Consider the following 23,475-nt stretch of genomic DNA (forward strand, 5'->3'; position numbering starts at 1 on the left):
TGCTTAAGTAAATCAATGGTATCGAATATCTATGACTGAATGCCTAAACTCCTGATTCTCTTTCTAGTAGTACAATGTGGTAAAAGAAAATAATTTACATTTAATGAAAAGTAAATATAAATAAGTGTAATTTCAAGTTATTGCTCTACTGCAGTTTTTCTTATAAAAGGACTTCTTCACTTATTCCTTGCACTATAAAGTGGTATGCTTAGTCCTTCACATTCTAGAACACAATGGTCCTTTTTATGGCCCCTAATCAAATTCTATGGCAAAGGATGCAAAGTCCTTACTCTCAACTCTGGAACCCTCTTCCTTGTGCCAAAGACCAAGAAGGCCAGAGACTATCTTATCTCACTACGATCTATTTTGAGCAATGAATGAAAAAACAGAAGAATTGAAAGCACTCTATAAAGTGCCTTTTAGATGACAGGGCTCCTGGTGTCAGTCTTACAAGCATTTGTGAAGTGCTAAGAAAGTCAAGCGATTTTTTTTTTTTACATTAAGTTAGCTATGAGTGGCAAGAGTTACATGGTTGCTCCAGATGGTTAGTGTCTAAAATGGCCAAGAGCAGAGAAGTGCTTTACTTTACGTGCTGAAACTTTATTTTAGTAAATTCTACTCTAGTTTTACCATCTGGAGCAACACGATGTATACTCTTTCATTCACACAGCAGCATTTTTTCATTTTTTAAAAATGTGTAATACTAAATACATGCTTGTTTTTACACTTCTGGAAAAAAGAGCAGGGGGAGCTTCAAAGATTTTCAGAAGTAACACGAGTTAGCTAATATCCTGCTCCTAAGCCTGGGCAACATGGTGAGACCCTGTCCCTACAAAAAATAAAATAATAATAATAATAATATCCTGTTCCTAGATCTTTTCTCACTTGATATACTTTGAGTATCCTTCCATATCATTACAAAAAAAAATCGATCTCATTTCTTTTACAGCTACATCAGTTTCATGTATGGTTGTACTATAATTTTCTTAACCTATTTCTCATTGATGAATATTTGGGTAAGCTTCAATGGCTTATTATACTAAGCAATGTGTCTCAGTACATTTTTGTTGGATAAAATTCTTTGAAGTGTAACTAATGGGTCAAAATGTATGTACACATTTAGTCATTAGTAGACATAACCAAACTAATCCTCCAAAACAAAATACAGCTTTTAAGTGCTCCTCTTTGCCAATCCAAGAAGAAACAAACAAAAAAGGGTCTAGTTGATTTTTAACTTTGCATTCCCTTAATAAAAGGACCATTTGTTTTGCTTTCATCTGTGAATTACATATTCATGTTTTCTGCCATCTTTTTCTATTGTGCTGTTGATCTATTTCTATTACACTTGTCTTATAAATTTGTCTTAAAAATAATGATGAGGATAATTTACTACATCTTATAAATAACACTCTAAAACCCATTAGTTATCAAATACTAAAGACAAATCACTTTATCTACCAGTTAGTTGTGCTTTTAAAATAAAAAAGCAGAGGCCAGGTGCAGTGGCTCACGCCTGTAATCCCAGCACTTTGGGAGGCCAAGGTGGGAGGACTGCATGAGCCTCGGAGTTCAAGACCAGCCCTGACAACATGGCGAGACCCCATTTCTACTGAAAATTTTTAAAAAATTAGCTGGGCATGGTGGTGTGCACCTGTAATCCCAGCTACTCGGGAGGCTGAGGTGGGAGGATCACTTGAGCCCAGGAGTTCAAGGCTGCAAGTGAGCCATGGTGGTGCCACTGCATTCCAGCCTTGGTGACAGAGTGAGACCCTGTCTCAAAACAAATATACAAACAAAAAAAAGCAGAATAATTAACTTAGCAAATATAATTTGTTTAAGAGTGAGGGGTCTCACTATGTTGCCCAGGCTGGTCTCAAACTTCTGAGCTCAAGGGATCCTTCCACTTCAGCCTTCCAAGTAGCCGGGATTATGGAAGTGTGCCACTGTGCCCAGCTAGCAAATATAATTTTAGACTGCAAAGAAATATTTTAAGCATGTTTTAGGACATGCTGTATTGTATTTGCCTTGGAATACCCTAAATTAGGGTTTTTCAAAGGTAAAAGATTTCTTGGAATCACAGAATTTCAAATACTCAAATGCTACTAAATATCTTCACTAAGTAAAACCTTTAAGGCTAACAGGATGCCAGAGAACAACAACAACAAAAAGTCTATATATGCAACAAAAGTCTATATATGTAAATTCTGGTCATTTGAACTATTCCTCCTTTAAGAAATTAACAAATCCCTAAAGTGGCTGGGGAGATTGGCAGAAAATTCAAAGGTGTTCTGTCTGCAGGGTATACTCAATTCAGTTTCCACATAAAAACTCAATTACCTTAATAGAAGTTAACAGATTTGGCTGTTGTTGAGGAAATTAAATTATAGAGTGACATCCTACAAGCCTTGCTGTAGGGTGGATTCTAAAGTCAACCATAGATTATCTCCCCAGTAACTGGTCATTATGTAGAGGTAATTTTGGTGAATCATAGAGATGACTTTTTTTTTTTTTTTTTTTTGAGACGGAGTCTTACTCTGTCGCCAGGCTAGAGTGCAGTGGCGTTATCTCGCTTCACTGCAACCTCCGACTCCCTGGTTCAAGCGATTCTCCTGCCTCAGCCTCCCAAGTAGCTGGGATTACAGGCACGCACCACCACGCCCAGCTAATTTTTGTATTTTTAGTAGAGACAGGGTTTCACCATGTTGTCCAGGTTGGTCTCGATCTCCTGACCTTGTGATCCACCCACCTCGGCCTCCCAAAGTGCTGGGATTACAGGCGTGAGCCACCGCGCCTGGCCTAGGAATGATTTTTATAGCTATTTGTATGTTCTTAAGCACATTTATCCTTTCTTGATTTTTTGCATTTTTGATTAATTTTTAGCCACTTATTTATACTGTGGTCTACATATAATATTGAAAAGATATAGCAGTCTATAAATGTAAATGGAATCTTTACTCCATAGTGTTAAATTAAACCAAGGCTTCTTAACCTGGGCACAACTGACATTTGAGGCCAGATAATTCCGCGTTCTAAGGGGGCTGTCCTGTGCACTGCAGAATTCTCAGCAGCATCCTTGGTCTTCACCTACTGGATGCCGGTAGCACTGCACCCCCAATTGTGACAACCAAAAATGTGTCCAAACATTACCCAATGTCCCCTAGAGGGGCACAACTGCACCACTCCCACTCCATGGGAACCACTGAGTTAATCTAATTGGCTCTAGTTGGTGGGTAAGATTATATTCTAGTGTGTTTGCCTGTATTTGCTAATTTTTCCAGAATGGGAATTTTTATTTTTAAAAAAAGGCCCTCAGAGGAAACAAAAGAAAATGTCAGTAGGTGAAAAAAGGACTCAAACGTGACATTTTTCAGAAAGTATTTTTTAATTAAAAAAAAAATCACCACCGACACCACAGACTATTCCCTTTGCAGGTCCCTGTGCAGGTTCCAACCCTAGGGCTCATGAAATCAAATTACTAGGTCAGGATCAGCATTTAAGAAAAGAATAGAATAGAAATAGCAAGCGGAAAATCCTCAAAATTTTGAAAAGTATGAAAAGAAAAAAGGCTCAAAAACACATAAAGCAAAATGACTACAACCTGAGAACCAGAGAGTAAGGACACTGGCCAAATTATTATTTTATTTATTTATTTATTTTTGAGACAGAGTCTCACTCTGTCGCCCAGGCTGGAGTGCAGTGGCCTGATTTCGGATCACTGCAGCCTCCGCTTCCTGGGTTCAAGCCATTCTTGTGCCTCAGCCCCCCAGGTATCTGGGACTACAGGTGTGCACCACCACGCCCAGCTAATTTTTGTATTTTTTGTAGAGATGGGGTTTTACCATGTTGGCCAGGTTGGTCTTGAACTCCTGGCCTCAAGTGATCCGCTTGCCTCAGCCTTCCAAAGTGCTGGGATTACAGGCGTGAGCCACCATGCCTGGCCAAATTGTTTCTTATTAAATGTAAAATGAAAGGCAACATTTGTCCTGCTTTCTGCCCTTCCTTTCAAGCACTTCCATTTCAAGCATTAATGTAATCAAACTTCATTTGTCCAGAATTTGTTATAATAAACCCTGATTAAGTTTACCTATAAAAAAACTAAAGTACGCTGGCAATAAAAGACTATAGTCTTGTTAACTTTAAAAGAGGCTTGAAGGTTTTAACATGAACAGTAGTAATTACAAAGGAGTTACACGAGTTTGTCTTATTTAAGCAAATCTAAGAGGATTTATATCAAAATGCTTTTTGCTGTTAAATGACATTCTTGTACATATTTGGAAGCATCTCTTTTTTTAAAACAATTTAAGATATTCTCAAGTTGGACTAGCATGCCCAAATATTCTTTCTTTTTTCTGTTTTCCCTCCCTCCCTCCCTCCTTCCTTCCTTCCTTTCGGCAAAGTTTCGTTCTGTGGCCACCCAGGCTGGTATATAGTAGCATGATCATGGCTCACTATAGCCTGGACCTCCAGGGCTCAATCAATCCTCTCACCTCAGCCTCCCAATTAGCTTGGACTACAGACACACACCACCATGCCCAGCTAGTCTTTTTTTTTTTCACTTTTTGTAAGGATGGGGTTTCACCACATTGCCCAGGCTGGTCTCGAACTTCTGGGCTCAAGCAATCCAACTGCCCCGGCCTCCCAAAGTGCTGGGATTACAAGCTTGGGCCACCGTGCTCAGCCCAAATATTCTTAATTATATCAAGAGCTGACCTTTAAAAAGTCCAAAACTTCATATTAAAAGATATGTTATTCAATACTTCAAAAAGTACTTATTAAAATAATTTTAAGTTACAAAAGCTTCATTTTTTAAAAGAAATCACTTTTCTCCTAAGATTCTTACCTTTCCATTTGTATGCAGTCCCACAGATTATTACTTTCACAAAAATATAGCATAGTACTAAGATATATCATGCAGCCCCCAGCACTAAAACAAATCAATTTTAGCAGCGCTAATCCTCCGTAGAGTACCACTTTCTAGATGAGGCAGATAAACAACTGCAAATCCAGTAAATCTATTCATAAAGTGGATCATCTCAAAGTAAAAGCAAATTCATGAGTATTATGCTTGCTTTTGGTACCTCACTTATTTTGCATTTCACAGATTACTTTAGTGAGAAAAAATACCAACAGCAAACAAAGCTCAAAAGAAAAACAACACCACAAATTTCAAAATGATGCTGTTAGTATAAAAAAGAAAGGTTGACACATCTCAAAGCACTAATCAACACCATCATGCATCAACCGCTAAGGGTTAAAGCCCAAATGCCCAGTATTTAACTATTTGATCTTCACGGATCAAGCAAGGACTTAGAAATCATCTCACGTGCAACAGTATTTGCATAGCACTCCATTTTATCCATGCCACAAAAATGGTAAATTTAGTAGTTACCAATAAATAAGTTGGGGATCAAAGGGACTAAAGCCTTAGACTGCTCTTTATCATAAGATATCCTCAGACAAACCTCCCCATTCTTCATTCTGGCTCTATAAAATTAAGGAGCAGAGAAAAACTGGTAAGTGCTTGACTTTACAGAAAAAAAGCCATACTATTATTTCCTTTGTCATTATATATGTGTGTGTTTAAATAAATCCAACTACATCACCACCCCCCACCATATCCCTCCAAAAATCTAGCTTAAAATAGGTGGTGGGGAAAAGTATTCCAAGTATTGCAAAGAATATCAATTTAGCAATTTCAGCATGTTGTACTTTAATAATTTAAGAATCATCTTTAGTACCAGTGGCATGTTAAGACAGCCAAACATTAAAAAATGGATAACGGGCCAATTTCTGGGCTTTACCCCCAAATCTAATTATGTATTCATACAACCAAACACCAAAAGGAATAAACATGAAGTTTGGTCTAGAAATGTCAAAACTAATCCTTTATTTACCAAGTAATGAAGTAAAATAAAAAAGATATCTTTATTATCTAATCACAATATCTGCTAATATTTTAGCAACTATTATTTGAATGTACATTTAATGTTACATTTTTATTACTAACTGTAATATGCTAACAGAAAATCTGTATCCACTGACCCTCTTCCCTATTTGGCTATAAAATGAAGGACTACCTTAAACTATGTGTTTATACAAATTGGGTAAGAGAAATTTTTTTTTAATTTTTCTGAAGAAAATAAGCATTCTTAAGGATAGAAATGTATATTTCACAAATTAAAAAAAAATCAAAATCATTGAGATGTGTATACACCTTTAAGCCAACAGATAAGTACATGATAAGTTCAAAGTCATCTTTGGTGCTTAGAAATAATCAATTCAAGTAAAAGACCTGACACTAAACAGAAAAATAATGACACATGAAAAAGTAGATTAAAATTGACCAATTAGGACTTCTACTACAAATGTAAGTCTGAATTTAGATCTTCACAGCTATATTTACAATTTTGGAAGCAAAATCATTTCATGAAATTGATTAAGTGAATGCTATACCCCAAACTATAAGACCAAAAAAGTTATTATAAATCCAGGCATTTTGATCAATCCAACAAGAAATAGGTTGAAAAATATTATTTATATCTACATATCCAATAAAAAATTCCAACTGCTGATAATCTGGACAATAAAAATTTGCAGTCTAAGAAGTCAAAGATGGCACTGTCTTAGGAAATCTACTCTTTTCCACACAGAAAAACCTCTGGGAGAATTATGAATTTCTCACTATATGACTGAGAAACAAAGAAGTTCATATCTAAAACAGAACGTTTAAAATATATATACCAAGACAATACATAACTGGGGTTAGGGGAAGTGCACAGTGGTTAAGATTTTACACAGCTGTGAAGCCTAGTAGATCTGGGTTTAGAATCCTGGTTTTGCCAGTTGCTAACCAGGTGGCCTCAGACCAGTCATGGAACCTCACTGAGATTCCACTTTCTCATTAGGCTACCTCTAACCTTTCACAGGGTGTCTTGAGGATTAGCACAGGATGCTTAAAGCAAACTGCTGAGCCCAGGGCCTCACATACAAGCACTCAAGCGTTAGTTACCATCATAATTATTTTTGTTGTCATGGTATCCAAAACAAAAAGTTTTCCAGCAGTTTGTGGAGTGCTTTTTCTCTTATTCCACTTGCTATTTTATGAACATAATATTCAAATACTCTCCCACAGATGTAAACTTGTATCATGCATCAAAAATATAAATGAATCTATTTTTAGGAAACATGCATCTTGCCATTCCTGCATTTCTTCTCAGAGTATGTTGATGAAGAGAACAGAATAACCTGAAGCCTTACTGCTCCACACAGACTTGAGCTTGGCTTCATAATGGCCTTAACCTACGATGTATTCTCACTCTAAATTCAGAATGGACCACCACCTACTGCTTCCCCAAGACCTACATGGCTAAGAAAAATGGTTCACTCAGACTGCTAAATAGACAATGTCTCAATGTGGTACTCAGTTTCGTTTGTGTACAAAGCAATGTAAAAGTAGTCATAGAAGAGAAACAGGACCACAGCTTTCTTCTAAAGACAAGGAACTGTAATTAACAGTACTCATTTCTTTATTTTAAACAAAGGTTACAAGGGGGTAAGGAAAATTTTACATGGGACCAACCATACTCATCCTATGCTTTTCTCTTTGCACTTACTTTCCCCAATTAAAGACATAAAAATAGGCTGGATGCGGTGGCTTACGCCTGTAATCCCAGCACTTTGGGAGGCCGAGGTGGGTGGATCACCTGTCAGGAGTTTGAGACCATCCTGGCCAACATGGTGAAAGCCTGTCTTTACTAAAAATACAAAAATTAGCTGGGCATGGTGGTGTGCACCTGTAGTCCCAGCTACTTGGGAGGCTGAGGCAGGAGGATTGCTTGAACACAGGAAGCGGAGGTTGCAGAGAGCCGAAATTGCACCACTGCACTCCAGCCTGGGTGATAAGCGAAACTCCATCTCAAAAAAAAAAAAAAAAAGACATAAAAATAGTACTTCAAACAGAAGGACAATATTAACTATTAAAATACTCCCATAGGGGAATATATATACATATGTACATATACACACACAAATAAATGTGGATCTGCAATAATGTTCTTATCCCCTAGTACATTAAATACTGAATATATGCTCTAAGGTAAACTTAACATTGCTGTCATATTCTAAGGCCCATAGCAATTTCCCAGTAGCATTTAAAAATCCAGGCACAGCTGGGTGCAGTGGCTTACACCTTTAATCCCAGCACTTTGGGAGGCCAAGGGGGACGGATCATTTGAGGTCAGGAGTTCGAGACCAGCCTGACCAACATGGTGAAACCCTGTCTCTACTAAAAGTACAAAACTAGCCAGGCATGGTAGTGCAAGCCTGTAATCCCAGCTACTCGGGAGGCTGAGGCAGGAGAATCGCTTGAGCCCGGGAGGCAGAGGTTGCAGTGAGCCAAGATCGTGTCATTGCACTCCAGCCTGGGCAACAAGAGCGAAACTCCATCTCAAACAAACAAACAAAAAATTACTCTCCAGGAAAAATATTAAAATTAAAAGTTGAACTTCAATAACTTTAAATACATTTTAAAGCCAATGTAATTAATCAGAAAATGATAGAAAAACTTGGAAGAAATGCCAGGTTCTGACAGAGCAGAATACAGATCTGTGACAAAATATGAAAGTGATCAAGGGAAGACCTATATGAAAAATTCCCAATTTCTAATCCTGGTTTTGACCTAATTTTTAAAAAAGTCTGATTAGTGAACAGCAAAATAAGGAGATACTAACTTTAAAAACCAATTTTACAACAGTAGAGTATATGCTTATAGTCAGCGCACCTGATATTAAAAACAAACCTCCAGAATAACATTTCCAATCAATTGGTAAACCACTGTGGCAAACTGTACACACAAGGCAAAAGGTCTGTGTTCATTTCACTACTGAAGAGTAGATGGCACCAGGGCTGCCAATCTAATACTTCACTTTTGCAGGCACCTTAACCACTCTTCTGATAACTACAAGATCATTAAGTGTACAATGCATTGTCTCACATTTAGTAGATGTCTATCCAGATGATGTCATCTCAACTTCAAGCAATCCCCACAACTGTCCCAGTCAGTGACTGATGCAGTGAGATTCTCAAACAGCTTTCCCTTCCTCACAGAGTCCAAGAGTTAAGAAGTTAAAATGGAGAAAGTAAGTTACTCTTCTCCCCTTATTTCACTCCCTTAAAACTGAATGCCTCCAAGGCTAAAAAATGGGACTGAAAGTCACCTTTGGTGACTAAAAAAAGACAAGAACAAACTGATAAACATGTATGTAACAAAGAAGGGACTAAAATAAACTGGAAATACAAAATCATATTTTCAATGCTTCTGGAAAATGAACCAGTGAGCCAAAAATATTCAAGACTTTTACATACATGCAAACACACACTTAACAACTACTTTAGTGAAAACACATTTCATTTTTCAATATTTACTAATCACTTCTCATGCTGTAAGCTTTCCATATGATAAAAATCACAATTAGCTCTAAAGCATAATTCAATTTGGTATCTGAATTAAGGTATCATTAAGTTTTTGGAAAAAGGTAGCCTTATCTATGAAATGTTAAGCTTCAGAAATAGAAGGTACATCAGCATCAACTGCACAATTAACCCAAGATGACTATGGTAATTAGAAAGAAAAGGGAGTTACACATCTGGGGATATGGAGGTAAGACAAGAATGCAGTTTGACAGAACATGGTTTGTTATTTAAGAAGAGCAAAGAGAAATGCAAATACTGTTTAGTTTTGCTAACAAAAAAAACCTGGAAGTTTCTACAAAAAGTATAATTAGAAAACACTATCATTTGCTTGGCTACTTTTGCATTTAATGGACATGAGGTAAAAATATGAGCCAATTTGGAATTAAAATGTCATAATCTCATAGTCAACTCCTGATTATCTACACTAATGAAAAAGGGGGTTATCTTAAACAATTTGAAGCAATAGATGGAGAGTTCTCAACTTACTGCTACTTTCAGCCAATCTTTTCCCTTCTTCAAATAGTCTGTCCTCTAAAGGTTTAGACTCCAGTGTTTTAGGGTCCAAAAAGGGCCATTGGGAAGAGGCCTGACCGATAGACCATCTCCAAACTGAACCATCCATCCATAGATAACTGAGTTGACGTGACTGACACATATTCCAGTCAATAAACTGCACATGGATGGACACTACATGACAAGCATGCTTCAGAGTACTTTCTGAAACTGTAAGAATGATGAATGAGACTTCCCCAGCAAGAGCAAAACATGCTAGTGCCTAGTGAAGAGAATAAGTAGCTTACCTCCTGCAGTAGATCAGCCTGCTCAATTGCTTTAAGGACATTTTTCTTGGATGTTTCCTGAACTTCCCCTCCCAAAAGAAACTCATCCAAAATAAAATAAGCCTTCTCAAAATTAAAGATGATATCTAGTTCACAGACCTGAAAAGGAAAAAAAAAAGAAAAAAGAAAAGAAAAAATTGTTAAAACTTGCAGAAGCAGAAGATGCTTATTCACTATCAGGTAGTGAATAAAATCGAACTAGAGTGAATCAATCTTAACTCTTTCTAAAAATGACTAAGTATCACTGGTTTAAGTAAGCTTAATTTCCAAATCTCAAGTACTTGAAAACATATTCCTACAAGCTAAATAAGACTGGGCTCTGCATGTTCCCAATATGGACAACTTAATAATTTCTACTAATAAATAGTCATTCCCACCCTCTCCCGCGGTTAGAATCCCCAAGACAACCAAAAAATAAACTTGTTAGAGAAAAGGTTCCAAAATATACTATGGCATTCAATTTCCTAAAATAAAATACTACTCACACTGCCGAAATACTTGTCAAGTAATTCCACATAACGATGAATTATTTCCAGGGTAATTAGTTCATTGTCCTGATCCTCAATAGCACAGCAAAAATACAGACTAGCATATCTGTAACAAAGTACAAATGTGAAAAAAACTGTTATCCTATAATGATGTTTTCTAAATATATTTTCATATCCTATTATGAAAAGCCCCAAGTTTATACAGTTTATTTCTTCTTTCACGACAGTACAGATTTTTCTCATAGACTACAAAAGTAATAAACGCATAACAGAAATTTTGAAAAGCATAGGCAAGTATAAAGAAAAAATCAAAATAATCATACCACTTAGAATAAGTGATTTTGCCCTTCTTCCTTTCAGGTTCTTTTCTATAAGCATTTTAAAACATAGCAGACCCAGGTTTTTCCTAAGTTTACTTAATTAAAACAAAATATATAGCAGATTAATTCAAACTGTAAGTACAGAGAAGAAAACAAACCTTCCAACTGAAGGAGGACTTGTTGAGGATAATGCCAAGGTGAGGTCAATATTTTGGGATATTTTATTGGAATATGTATAATATATACACAGAGAAGACCTTAAGTCCTACAAGCTCAATAAATTTTCAAAGTGAACTCAACTATATATCAGCACCCACATCAAGAAGCTGAACACTACTGAACCCTGAAACTCCTCTGCTACCCTCTCCCAGTCACAACCTCCCACCCCCAAGGGTAACTATGCTCTTGACTTCTAACAGAATAGAATTGTTTTTAAAAAGGTTTCTAGGATTGCAGAATAAACCATACGAAAAGAACAACAGCTCCACGTTATTACAGAAGTTAGAGAAAGAGAACAGAAAGTTCCTATCACTTAAGGGAAACAGAGGCCTGTTCTCAAATTTACCAAGTTCTACACTGTTGAACTGAAGTGTAGTTTATTTACCCTAGAAGAGGGAATAAGGTTGGGAAACTTATATTCTCCTTCAAATTAGGATTCTAGCATATGGAATCATGTTATGCTTGACCCAAGGAAGCAAAACTTCAACCCTGAGGCATAGCAAGTCCTTTGAGGAGGATTAAAAGGGCATTTTAAAATGGTTTACATGTACTTAAGGCTTTTGAAAAGAAAGAAAATAAAAACCTAAGATAGGCTAAACACAGAACATTTCAGTGGAGATTATAATTTTCACTGAAGATCACTTAAATGATTTTTAGAAAACACAATGGGCAGTTACTGCTCGTAGCATTAATGTAAAATAATACTGTATACAGAATAACACAACCTGTTTTGAGACTCAATGAATTCTTGCTCCTTAGTATGAAAATAACTAGTATTCACACAACAGCATTAATTTCATTATTAAAACCATTTCATCTTATTTGATGTTTTCAACAGCAAGTACTATCTTTCATCCTTGATCACAGATTAAAAAAAGACAAAAAAAAAATGAGGCTTAAGAGTACAGCGCCTACAAGTGCTAGTACTGGGATAAGAAACCTGATCTTTTGACCTTAACTCCAGGCCTTTTTCCACTGTATCATACAAACTCACTTGGCATATATATCATGAGTTTGTGCATGTCTACTCTACCTGACTTCCACACTCAGTAAGTTATTTAAAATGGTGGAGCTACTGCAGTCTTATTGAGAGGAGGTATTCACATGTGTTCATTTATCATCATTGTGAAGGGAATAAGTCATGGAAGACAAAACAGGGCATCAATGCCAACTTTAACAAAGTGCTCCCTCTCTTTCCCATCGTTACTGTTTTTGTTTGTCTATTTAAAAGAGAATAGAGTATTCCAACTCTCCATCCTCCCTAACCCATGCTCATTAAATAGAACTTTGAATTTGAGGAAACTGATAAATGACACATAAGATTCCCTGATTTAAGAAAACTAAACATTAAAGGGACTGACATAAAAATGGTAGATTAAAAACCAGATATGACTAGCTGATAGGAACAGAATGCTAAATAATTTATTATACAAAGTTTACTAACAGTTTCAAGTAAAATTCCTTTTATTTAAGATTTCCTCATGCTACTATTAAACAAGCTAATGCTCGTACCATCCTCGCTCCTTATCCACAGTACTGCCTCTTTACTTACAAATAAAAAGCACTTAAACACTAGTCAAAGGTCCTAAACTGCATGAATCACTTGGAAGCATTAATTTAAAAATCATCAGAAACAATGTGTCTAAGCCCCAGCCAGTAATGTTTACTTTCACTCGGAATGGAAAAAGAATAATCAAATTAATGAATTCTTTGGTGTAGGTGAACAGATAGCTATCAGGATAATAATGTACCTCTTTCCAGAAAGCTTAGGGCAGGAAAAAAACAGAAACATAATAATTAAGTACCATTCACTGAATCCTCGCCCTACATGAGACATTAAATGTTAGCTAAGGCTTTTGCATATTTTACCACTCTAATCCTCACAACAACCGTATCCATGAGATACCATTATTATTTGCATTGATAAGAGACCCAGGTTTGAGTAACCTGCCTAGGAACAGCAATTTGACTCTAGAGCCCAAGTTTTACATTAAAAACTATAGCCAGCAATTGCATTAACGTAATCCCATACCTGGCAAAAATTAAAATGTGCTCGAAACAATATTTTAAGAGCTTTGAAGAGAAGTAAAATATGCCATACTGATTTAGTAAAAGATTACCAAGAGAACCTGAAGTGTACTTCCTATATTTAGGACCAAATGGTTTTAAAAAAATCAATAATGAGCTCATTTTGTTCTCTTAGTGCCTATTTGTAAGTCTAAATCTGAAGTAAAATTAATAATAGACTAGTAAGAAGAAAGGTATGTTTGGTTATTTTTAGCACAGTGGATTAAGGCTTACTCTAATTACTGGCACTCAGAGAACATCTGAAAGTGCCTATTCTTATATTCAAAACACATGACTTCTCCGCAGTCAGCTAAATATCAGCTAAATATCAGCTGACTGTGGGTGAATGTAGCTGAAGTGTTCTCAATACCCACTGGTATGTCATTAAAAATTCTTTTGTTAGTAAAGAAAATCAGTAAGTATTCTTTAACAAATTATCAAGCTAGTAATTTGGAGATATATATGTTTTTAAATTAATTTTAAAAGACCTTAATCCAGTGACTCTTCCACAAAATGCTACACAAAACAGGAATCAAAAAAGCACAGTATTCTGTCTTGAAGGGATCTTCAAGAGCATTTAGAGATAAGGAAACAAAGTGACTTGTTTAAAGTCATAAAACTAGCTAACGTTACAAAGGGAACAGAACTTAAGTCCCCAGATTTTCAGTCTGTCTTTTCAGCTAATATTATTCTTATCCATCATTCCCCTCTCAAAAGGGGGAATTTGTATGCCAAATACTCAGGATGAAGAATGTAGATGAGATAATTTAACAAAAACAACAAAAATCACTTGCTGATATGAACAGCAGAAGTCCCAGTCCAGAATTTCTCAGGCGCTAAGCAGTAATTCTCCTGCTTAAAAAGCTCTTCGCTTCCAGCAGTAGGGAAAACAAACCACCTGTTTATACCAACAAAAAATATGTCCGTAAGTGGTAGAGTAGATGAGGTTTTCAGTATGAAATGGAAGGGGGAACGTATAGAGAAAGAACTGATAAATTCCACCTTTTGTATATGACTGATATCTCAATAAAGCTGTTTTTTTTAAAGTCCACCTTTTATTTAAAGGTGCTTGATATAAGTATCAGAGTTGGATTAGATACCCTTTGTAGCTTTCAAAAGAAAAAGTAGTGGCTCAACACGGACAGACTGAGTGACATGTGCATGAACACCAAGCAGTGCTTTCCTTTCTTCCCATAACAGCCCATTCCTGGGATTGAATCCCTTGCTGGTATTTTCCTCCTCCACACGGGGGACTCCTTCCCCTATCTAGAAATAAGCTTAAGCCTCTCACACCTTCTTTTTTAAAAACCTTGTCCCCCACTCCTATGTCTATGAGTGGTTACCACCTCGTCTCCTGTCCTTCACAGCAAAGTTCCCCAAAATAGTCTACACATGCTATTTAAATTTCTCCACCTCTTCACACTTCGCCCCATTACATCGAGAGTTCTATCTCCACTATTCCACTGAAAATGTTCTGGCAAAGGGCATTATATGAAATGCTCACTGTAAAATCTACCAGATTCCTTCCTCACTTTCATTGAACTTTATGCAACATCTGGCATTGGTGAAATTTCTCATTCCACTCTGAAGGTCCCTTCTTCATCTCCTTTGCCTGCCACTTGAATGCTGGTGATCTAATACTTTGTCTTATTTTCCCCAGACTTCCATACTTACACCAACCACATCCCACCAGAAAATCAGGCTTCTCTTAATGAAAGTCACATAGACATCCCCAAATCAACTCACCCCAAAATAAGCCGAGTTATCTAGCTCACCTTGTACCCCATCAGCAAACCAGAAATGTGGAGATCACCCCACTCCTCCCTTTCCTTCGCTGCTCTCTCCGCTTTGTTGTTGTCGTTGAGGGTCTCACTCTGTCACCTAGGCTGGAGTGCAGTGGCCCAATCAGGGCTCAGTGCAGGCTTGAACTCCCAGGCACAATCAATCCTCCCACCTCAGCCTCCAGAGCAGCTAGGAATACAGGTGCATGCCACCACGCCCAGCTAATTTTTTTTTTTTTTTTTAATTGTAGAGACGGCGGGGTCTCACTAAGTTGCCAGGGCTGGACTTGAACTCCTGGGCTCAAGCGATTCTCCTGCCTCGACCTCCCATATTCTTCCCACTTCTAGAGGTGACCAAGTCTTATCAAACCTACCTATTTGATAATGGCTATTTAGTGACAGCCCTCCTTTCTAGCGCCTGGGTTCAGGATCTCACATAGTCTCCTACTGATCCTGCAGGTGCCAGTCTCAGCCCCTCCTGCCCTCATCCATTGTCTCAGTTCAATCTTTTAAGATATGTAAACCTGATCTTTTTCCAGCCCTGTTTAAAATCTTTGCCTCTAAGCTTAAGATCTGAGTTGCAGCCCCATGTCAATCACTAACTGGCATATGGCCCTAGACAAGTCACTTCTCCCAAATTTGCATTCTTTATAAAATTGAAGTTTGATCAACAACGGCAGTTTTCAAACTCAAGAACTGTCTCCTGTGCAGAGGGGTAAAGGCCAAGTGAGCCAGGATACAGGATCCTCATTCCTGATTTCACAAGGAGCAGCCTCACTTCCACTCATTTTATTTAAGGTTCTACCCATGGGGCAAAAAGCTTAAAACAAAACAAAACAAAACAAAATCACCTGACTAGATCACTGTAAAACATCTCTCACCTCTCAAATGATATGACTTTTCTATAATCTTTAATAAGACCAAACGAAACACTGGATACAAAATCACCCAAAGATACAAAATCACCAAAGATCATTCAATAATAAAGAGGAGTCCTCAGTATTTAAGAAACTTATGTCTTGTAATCTCCATTTCTTCCCAGCCATCTCCCTGACAAAATATCCAACCCATATTTGGAGTGCAATAAAGGGAAGCTGAGAAGAAAACCAGACTTCTCTCCCACCCTCATTGTATCCCATACTGTTACTTCCATGTATACTCCCCACACAAGAGAACTTTTTATATGCAGAAATGCTCTTATCTTAAATTCAGCAAATTATTCAAAAAGAAACAAATGGGGAATGAAGTAAATGTCCCCTCAAAAAATGTTCTGTAAAAGAAGAAAGTTTATTTCTTTTAACCTACTTAGAACAATCTTGAGAAATTTATTTTAGGGTATTCAGGGTTTCAGATATTTATAAAATAAAGACGTATAGCATTAAAAAAATTTTAGTGTTAAAAGCCAATCTATGAGTCATTTTGTAACATCAAATTTTTAAAAAATCTGTCCTTGGAAAAATTATCTGTCATATTTAATTGCACCCCCACCATAGCAACAAGGGTACTTAAAAGTTAATAAACACTACTTACAAACACATCTCATGTATACACAAAGTTTTTAAAACATCTATGTGATTGAAATAGTCTACATAGTCAAGGTATTTACACGTGAGTAAGATTCTAAAAATCAGATAAAAGGCATGTCAAATATTAGTCATTACTTTATAGATTTTCGGGGAAAAAGAATTAGACTCTATCTGTACTTGTCTCAATTCAGAGAATTACTCACACAATTTAAAATACTGACCCTACTTTCCCCTGCAATGAAATGAATTCATTAAACTCTTCTATAAAGATGATTAAGCATGAATAATCATTTATGCCTTTAATTATATAACTAGTTTTCAAAGGATTTCCCTGCCTTTATCATTTCAGCCTCAGTAATTATCAATCAAAACACTAGTTATTTTAAAAACACAAAGCTTTACCTTAAACCTATTTCATCTAAATCTTTATTAATCGTTATTTATAAATGTCATCACTGAAGTCTGCAATTTCCTAAATGACCTAACATTTGATTCTATTTCACCTTTCTGACAAACAAAAATTATACCTTTTGTAAACAATCTTCAGATCTCGCCACTCAAGGAAGCTGCACATTTTAGGTTTCCGTGCTAAAACGGTCTGAACAAGTTCTCTTGTGATCTTTTTCTTCTCTTTGTCTGATAGTGGGACATACCATTTTTGCAGTCGAAGCTTTCCCTGACGACTAAAAAGCAACATAAACTGCATCTGTTAAGATAAATAAAATCAAGATTACATGTAATACTTTGAATCAATAAAGTTAAGATTATGTGTTTCACAGAGAAGTTTTGGGGGATGGGGCATTTACATGACAAATGATTAGTAGCCATCAATATTTCTATGCCAATTAAAATAGCAAGAAATTCTTTTGGACAGATCTTCCTCTAGATGCAAACCTTCCAATCCCACCTTGTTCCACATTAAGTTTGAAGGGGAGTGTGCAGGAGAAAAAAGAAAAATGGGTAATAAGCTGAAGTGAAATTTTTGAAGAAAAATAAAGATCACTCTTTCAATTTAAGAAACTATTTTCTACCTGTGCTATACATTGCGCACTCTCTATATGCATCAAAAGAGAATGGTAGACATCATCTGGTTTGGGTACTTTTGAAAGAAACAGAAGACCTGCTATTTTTCATCCTGAGGCCGTTCTAGTTCCAGGGTGAATTACTTGCAGACAGTAGCTTATGTCTTGGAATGTTCTCCTCAGTTTATGATGGCATATTTTAAGCAAAACAGAATGATCCAAAATATTAACTGAAAAATCCCATAAATACAAATTTTCATTAATAAAAAAGTATGTTTTCATCTGACTTTTAAAGCATTCCAACTTAAATATGTACAAAATCTAGAACTGAGTTAATGTATTATGAAAAAGAAAACAAACGTTTAAAAGGCCACAATAAGATTTACACTTATTAAATAAGATTCAGCATTGAAACATTACATGAAATACTTCATTTAAAATAAAAAATAGTATCTACAGATGGAATGGATGCTGAATTCTAGTGTGTTTTATACTTAAACTAATTTGTATGTATTTATTTGTGATCTGCAAATGTGTTGATTAGTCTGCATGTTTCATTTTTAACGCCAAGCTTTTTGTAATCCAATTGGTCATCTCAACTGCAAACAGAAGTATTGTTTCTACAAAGGTAATTTAAAGGCAGAATTCACATAGGTATCCTTTTTTCTTTTAATCACTGTTAAGTTCCTTTAACAGCGTTACTGCAAATAAGATTCAAGCATGATTCTCAAGATTCACCACACCATCTTGAATTTGAACACGGGGAGGGGAAATTTACAGAACCAATGTAGAATAAAAATGGGCCCTAAATTTCGGTAAGAAATTATCGTCGCTTTTTGTAACCACCCAAAAAGGTATCAACAAGATATCTAGAAATGTATGACGTGGCAATTCAACTTTAGTAAAGTTAAAATGGTCTTATTACCTCACTTAAAATGCGTCAGGGGAACAAAATATAAGGACATTATTAGGTGATACCAAAGTGCCTCCCGTGCAAGTCCTGAAGATAGCGGCATTCGAAGGGGGCAGGAAGTGAAGCATCAACTGGGCATTTACTGCAAACCCGTTACCAGAACTTGGAAAAGAATGGACCTCGTATTCCTAGATCTTGGTGACCAGAAAGGGTGAGGGTTTGCCTGCGAAGAGTATGGGCTCAAGGCTGTCTGGAGCAGGGTCCTGTATCCGCCCTACCACTTTGCAGGACGAAAAAACAATGTATTCTCCTTAAAATAAATTATGTCCTAACATGGGACGAAACCCGGTTGCAAAGCACGAGTATTCCTTCCCTCGTGTTAAAAACCAACGCTTTGATTTTGCCGCAAATCACAGGGCACCACAATTCCTCGAGACTGGCATTAAAAACAATGGGCTCAGCCGCGGCGCGGGCTCGGGGCCAGCGTTCCTCGGGTCCGGCCGTCGCCGGTGCCTCCCCCCCACTCCCGTGGCCACACTCCATCACTGACCAAGCCCGGGAGAGGTGACAGGCAAGGAGCGGAGCAGACAATGGCATCCGCCGCCGCGCAGGGGGCGCCAAGAGTCCTCGGCCGCCACCGCCCCCGGCCCCTCCCGAAAGCGCCCCGCAAAACTTGAGGCGATTCCCGAACCACAGGTGCCGCGAGGCTGTCGCGGAGCCCGGGACTGGCCCCCACATCCCCGGGCGCGGCGCGGAGTGGTGCGGAGGGCGCGGACACGGAGAGAAGTGAGTTGCGGGCGCGGCGACCCAGTGGCGGGCCGGGCAGGCTCGGGGTGGGGTCGTCGGGGCGCGCGCGGGGTGGCGGGGGGCGCGCCCAGTCCTCCCTCCCCCTCTCCCCCATCCCCGGCGCCCCCTTTCGCCCCCAGGGACTTACGGCGGCCGCGGGCCGCGGGCGCGGCGGAGCTTGGCCGGCGGCGGCGGCGGCGGCGAAGGGGAAGCCCCTGTCGCCGTGCTGAGGAAGAGAAGCCGTGGTGCTGTGGGGAGGACACCCGGCTGGCATAGGGCAGGCTTAGGCGGAGAGGGGAGGGCAAGCTGACAGACCCCGCCCCGGGGGCCGGACGAGGGAGGAGCCGGGGCTGCGGCGAGCTGAGGGGCGGGCTAGGCGACGCGCGGGAAGCGGCTCAGCGGTCGCCAGCGGCACCGGAGGCAGCGCGGGTAACCGCTGAGTCCAAGGCAGCCGATTGGAGGTTTCTTCGCTGAGGGGAGGTGCGAACCGGAAGCCGGGCCACGTGACCCGGAAGCGGCGTTTGCCGGGCCCGAGCGCCCGCGCGCCCGCGCGCTCTTGCAGGTGCCTCCGGGACGCGCGCGGGCGGCTGTCCTGCTTGTTTAATGATAGGAGGACGGGATTCTGCAGCGTCCTTAGCCTAGCGGGTGGTGCGGGGCAGGGAAGTTCCGGACAGCGAAGAGCCACGTTCGAGCTCTAATGATTCTCTGTGTCCCCAGAGAGGAAGTGTGAAGTGTGACGGCTGACGAGGAGGGTGGGAGGAGACGAGGGAGTGCTGCAACTCTGGAAAAACAAGTCAGCTCTTCTGTGGAGCTCGTCACGCATTCACGGGCCTTTTGCTATCATTCTGCCTCAAAATTGTCCGGAATCCGCCCTCTCCTTCCCATTGCACTGCTCCAGCCCTAGCCCAGACACCTTCCGCCCCGAGCTTCGCGGGAGTCTGTTCCCTGGGCTCGCCTCGCCCATCCTCGGTGCTGCGGACTGGATGAGTTACCGTCCGTTCGGCTGAAAAGCCCGGACAGCACCTCACCTTCGAGATCCCGCTTCCTTCACACTGGGTCGCCCCACCAGCCGCCTGGGTTCCAGTTTAGCACTGCCGACGACTTGCTGTGCCTGGCATGTCCTTGCTCCCAAATGTCACATCTATGAAGCCTCACCCTAAAACCCTGTAAGAGCGATTCCCTCTTTCACCCACATGCCCGTTAGCCTTTATTTAGCACACCTTAAATTGTATTCATTTTGCATCTCAATCTAGTTCACAGCCTGGTATATAACAACTAATAAATGTGAGTTGACTGATAAAGACTATAAAATGATAAATTTGTTAAGAGCTGTAATGCTGAGCGTAATGCCTGGGCATAATGGATGTTCATAATTTTCTGAATGATAGAATGGATGAATCATCTAGTCATTTACAGATAAGGAAAGGGGAGTCCCACGGGATTAGGTGACCTTCCTTGAAGAGCCACGGGTTTCCCATATCGAAATGCTATTCATTACCCGAGTCACCTAGGTTCTTACAAAGGAAGCGAGAAAATTGCTTTTGTTGGGCCATGCCCCTTTTGCAGAGGTTCCTAAGTATAGTCGCCAGAATTTTTTTAATGGCCTAAAGTAAAAAAAGAAATGCTAAAATTTTCACGAAGCTAAATGTAATCAATGTAAAGGAATCCTTTATTAGGGATTATATTCTTTTTGTGTACATTATAGTATCTATGAAACTAAGACAGTAGTTTTGGGGGCTTTTAAAAAATGCTTTTGTATGACAAAACAAAAAGAAATGTGTAATACTTCCCCTTTTCAAGCACTACTGTGCTGCTTGGAAAGTTTCCTACTAACATGTATGATTAATGTATACTGGAATATTAAAGAAAGGGGACGACACACGGCACAGAGCTGGCTTTCTGTAGTTCTTTAGGTCCCCCTCGCCCCCACCAGATTTCTCCCTACCTAGTCATGCCCCAAAGGTGCTTTCGAATGTCCCATTTCTCTCTTACTACAAGAAACAGATGCCATTAACCAGTTAAAAGATAGCTCTAATGCTACACAATGAAAACTCGCCCTCTGAATCCAAATGCTGCTTTTCTCTTTTTCTGTACAAAACACTTATATCCTGAAGGTTCCTGAGATAGCCACTTCCAAGTTTAAACTCTGATTATGCTCCTAATGTTGCTCTGAAAATGAGGACGGGAGACTTGCTGATGACATACTGGCAGTCTCCTTTCCTGCTCCTAGCCAAAAAAAGGTGGGGGTAGGGGTAGGGAGGGGAAGGAATTGTGGGAAAAATAATTAGCAGCTGAAAGCAGCTATTACATAATCTTGGCTGCTTATTAATTTAGCAGAAGGAATGGCTTATTAAATTCTAATAGCAACAGCACAACTGCAAACAACCTAGCAATTAACAGTGCAGGGCCCATTATTTTGTTAATATGTTCTCTTCTTTTGGCAAGTGTATGAGAACAAAATTTATAGAAGCAGATGGTCTTTTTCAATAGATTATAGATGGTTTATTCCCTAGTCTTAGTATTAAGTGCTAATTATGCATTCACTGTGAAAGACAAAAGAAACATGGTTGCCATCTTTGTTAGTAATTAACTGCTTGACTTTGATTCCCACAATTTCCCAATTGTAGGCTTTGTTATATACATGTTTCTTCTCACCTAGTGTCTTCTTCATCCGTCATGTCAATTGGTTATCTTTTTTAATCCTGTTTTTGTTTTCTAGATGGTCCTGATTTATTGGTGTTAATATTGATACAAGAATTATATACAAAATTCGTTTCATGAAAAACTAAAAATCAGATTTTATACTTGTTTCTTAAATTTGAAAAAAATGCTTCACTGTCATTTATGCTAAATGTAAGAGGTGAGGGGAAAATAGAAATCTTTACCTTCTAACGATAAAATTTTGAGACTTTTTATGTAATCTTTCCAAAGTTTTCAAAAATAATTTTAGTTTCCTATTAAATGTGTGATGGCCATATACTTTTATCCTCTCACTGTCTCAAAATACCATTAATTTTTTTTAAAGGGACTATTTAAAACACATACCCACGTGGAAAATAAGAGAGGGAACATTTACATGAGGATGTCGATAAGGATGTCAGGATACACTGTCAGCTCATCATTTAAACACTGATGATTTAAAGAAAAATTGTCATATATTGATATTATGGAGGAGCAGAAGTGAGGGAAGGTTGAAATAATGCTAAATCCTCATGTGCTAAAGGGAAGAAAATAGATAACATCTAAAATAAATCACGAACTAGAATTATTAGCATATTCTTTCGATACCAGGAAGTAAATCCCAGAAGCAATGGTGAATTTCTTTCCATGGACAGAATCTTGCAGTAGGATGTAATAAAGGGTATTATTACATTTTACTTAGGTTTTTTCTTAAATAATTTTTTAAAATATTGTAAGGAGGTAGATAAAAACCATTCCATTAGTTGCTAGCTCTGTATTATGGACTTATACAGAGTTCCTTTAGCCAGTCTATAGATTATTTAGAAATTATTAAATAAAAATGCCCAATAATGGAATTCAGTGCTGAAGCCTTGTAGATCACAGAAAGTGTAAAAAAGATGTTTAGAGTTTGTGAATTTGCATCTCCAAAGATAAAGTTGTTCCAGGGAGAAAAATGGCCTAAAATAATGAGGATTTGTGAACCAAATCATTTCAAAATAGATAGAGCTGTCACTGCCAAAGTCCTCAACAATGAGCTAAAGAGAAATGTGGAACATATGCTCTTTCTCGAAGCCTGTTTCCATAGCTTTGAATAAAATGCAGGAAAATTACTACTGCCCTATGAACATTAGGATAGAGCAGTGATTCTCAGCCTGGGCACTTTTGCCTCCCAGGGGACACTTGTCAGTGTCTGGAGACATTTTGGTTGTCACAACTAGGAGTAGTAGGTGATGCTGCCAGCATCTAGTGGGCAGAGACCAGGGATGCTGCCCAGCATCCTGCAACATACAAGAGAGATCCCATAGCAAAGAATGATCCAGCCCCAAATGTCACTAGTGCCAAGGTTCAGGAAGAAATCCTGG

At 38.6% G+C, this 23,475-nt stretch overlaps 1 protein-coding gene across 9 annotated transcripts in view, besides 5 other annotated features; it reads right to left on the minus strand.

Annotated features, from left to right (window-relative positions):
* Positions 1 to 19,706, minus strand: part of AP1S2 (adaptor related protein complex 1 subunit sigma 2) — a 29,008-nt gene extending 9,302 nt beyond the window's left edge. For 8 of the 9 annotated variants that reach the window (NR_160933.1, NR_160932.1, NM_003916.5 and 5 more), the window contains exons 1-4: positions 19,581 to 19,706; positions 17,239 to 17,417; positions 10,796 to 10,904; positions 10,272 to 10,409 (exon numbers count right to left, since the gene is read on the minus strand). Coding sequence is in view for 7 of the 9 variants with exons in the window: in NM_003916.5 (NP_003907.3) it covers positions 10,272 to 10,409; positions 10,796 to 10,904; positions 17,239 to 17,417 (426 nt within the window). In the remaining 2 variants the exon portion in view is untranslated. Of the gene's footprint in view, positions 1 to 5,389; positions 5,485 to 10,271; positions 10,410 to 10,795; positions 10,905 to 17,238; positions 17,418 to 19,580 lie in introns of all 9 variants that reach the window. The other variant, NM_001440865.1, reaches the window with a different exon arrangement.
* Positions 19,133 to 19,422: a silencer, noted in NCBI's record as "silent region_20674". NCBI's record gives its function as "represses an Ori minimal core promoter by ATAC-STARR-seq in GM12878 lymphoblastoid cells {active_cell/tissue: GM12878}" and the evidence as "EXISTENCE:reporter gene assay evidence [ECO:0000049][PMID:35858748]".
* Positions 19,643 to 19,922: a silencer, noted in NCBI's record as "silent region_20675". NCBI's record gives its function as "represses an Ori minimal core promoter by ATAC-STARR-seq in GM12878 lymphoblastoid cells {active_cell/tissue: GM12878}" and the evidence as "EXISTENCE:reporter gene assay evidence [ECO:0000049][PMID:35858748]".
* Positions 19,643 to 20,344: a biological region, named in NCBI's record as "H3K27ac hESC enhancer GRCh37_chrX:15872970-15873574".
* Positions 19,740 to 20,344: an enhancer, noted in NCBI's record as "H3K27ac hESC enhancer chrX:15872970-15873574 (GRCh37/hg19 assembly coordinates)". NCBI's record gives its function as "activates a minimal SCP1, AML or CMV promoter by ChIP-STARR-seq in naive H9 embryonic stem cells {active_cell/tissue: H9 hESC(naive)}" and the evidence as "EXISTENCE:reporter gene assay evidence [ECO:0000049][PMID:30033119]".
* Positions 20,013 to 20,122: a silencer, noted in NCBI's record as "silent region_20676". NCBI's record gives its function as "represses an Ori minimal core promoter by ATAC-STARR-seq in GM12878 lymphoblastoid cells {active_cell/tissue: GM12878}" and the evidence as "EXISTENCE:reporter gene assay evidence [ECO:0000049][PMID:35858748]".

This window comes from Homo sapiens, chromosome X, assembly GCF_000001405.40.
Source record: "Homo sapiens chromosome X, GRCh38.p14 Primary Assembly".
NCBI lineage: Eukaryota > Metazoa > Chordata > Mammalia > Primates > Hominidae > Homo > Homo sapiens.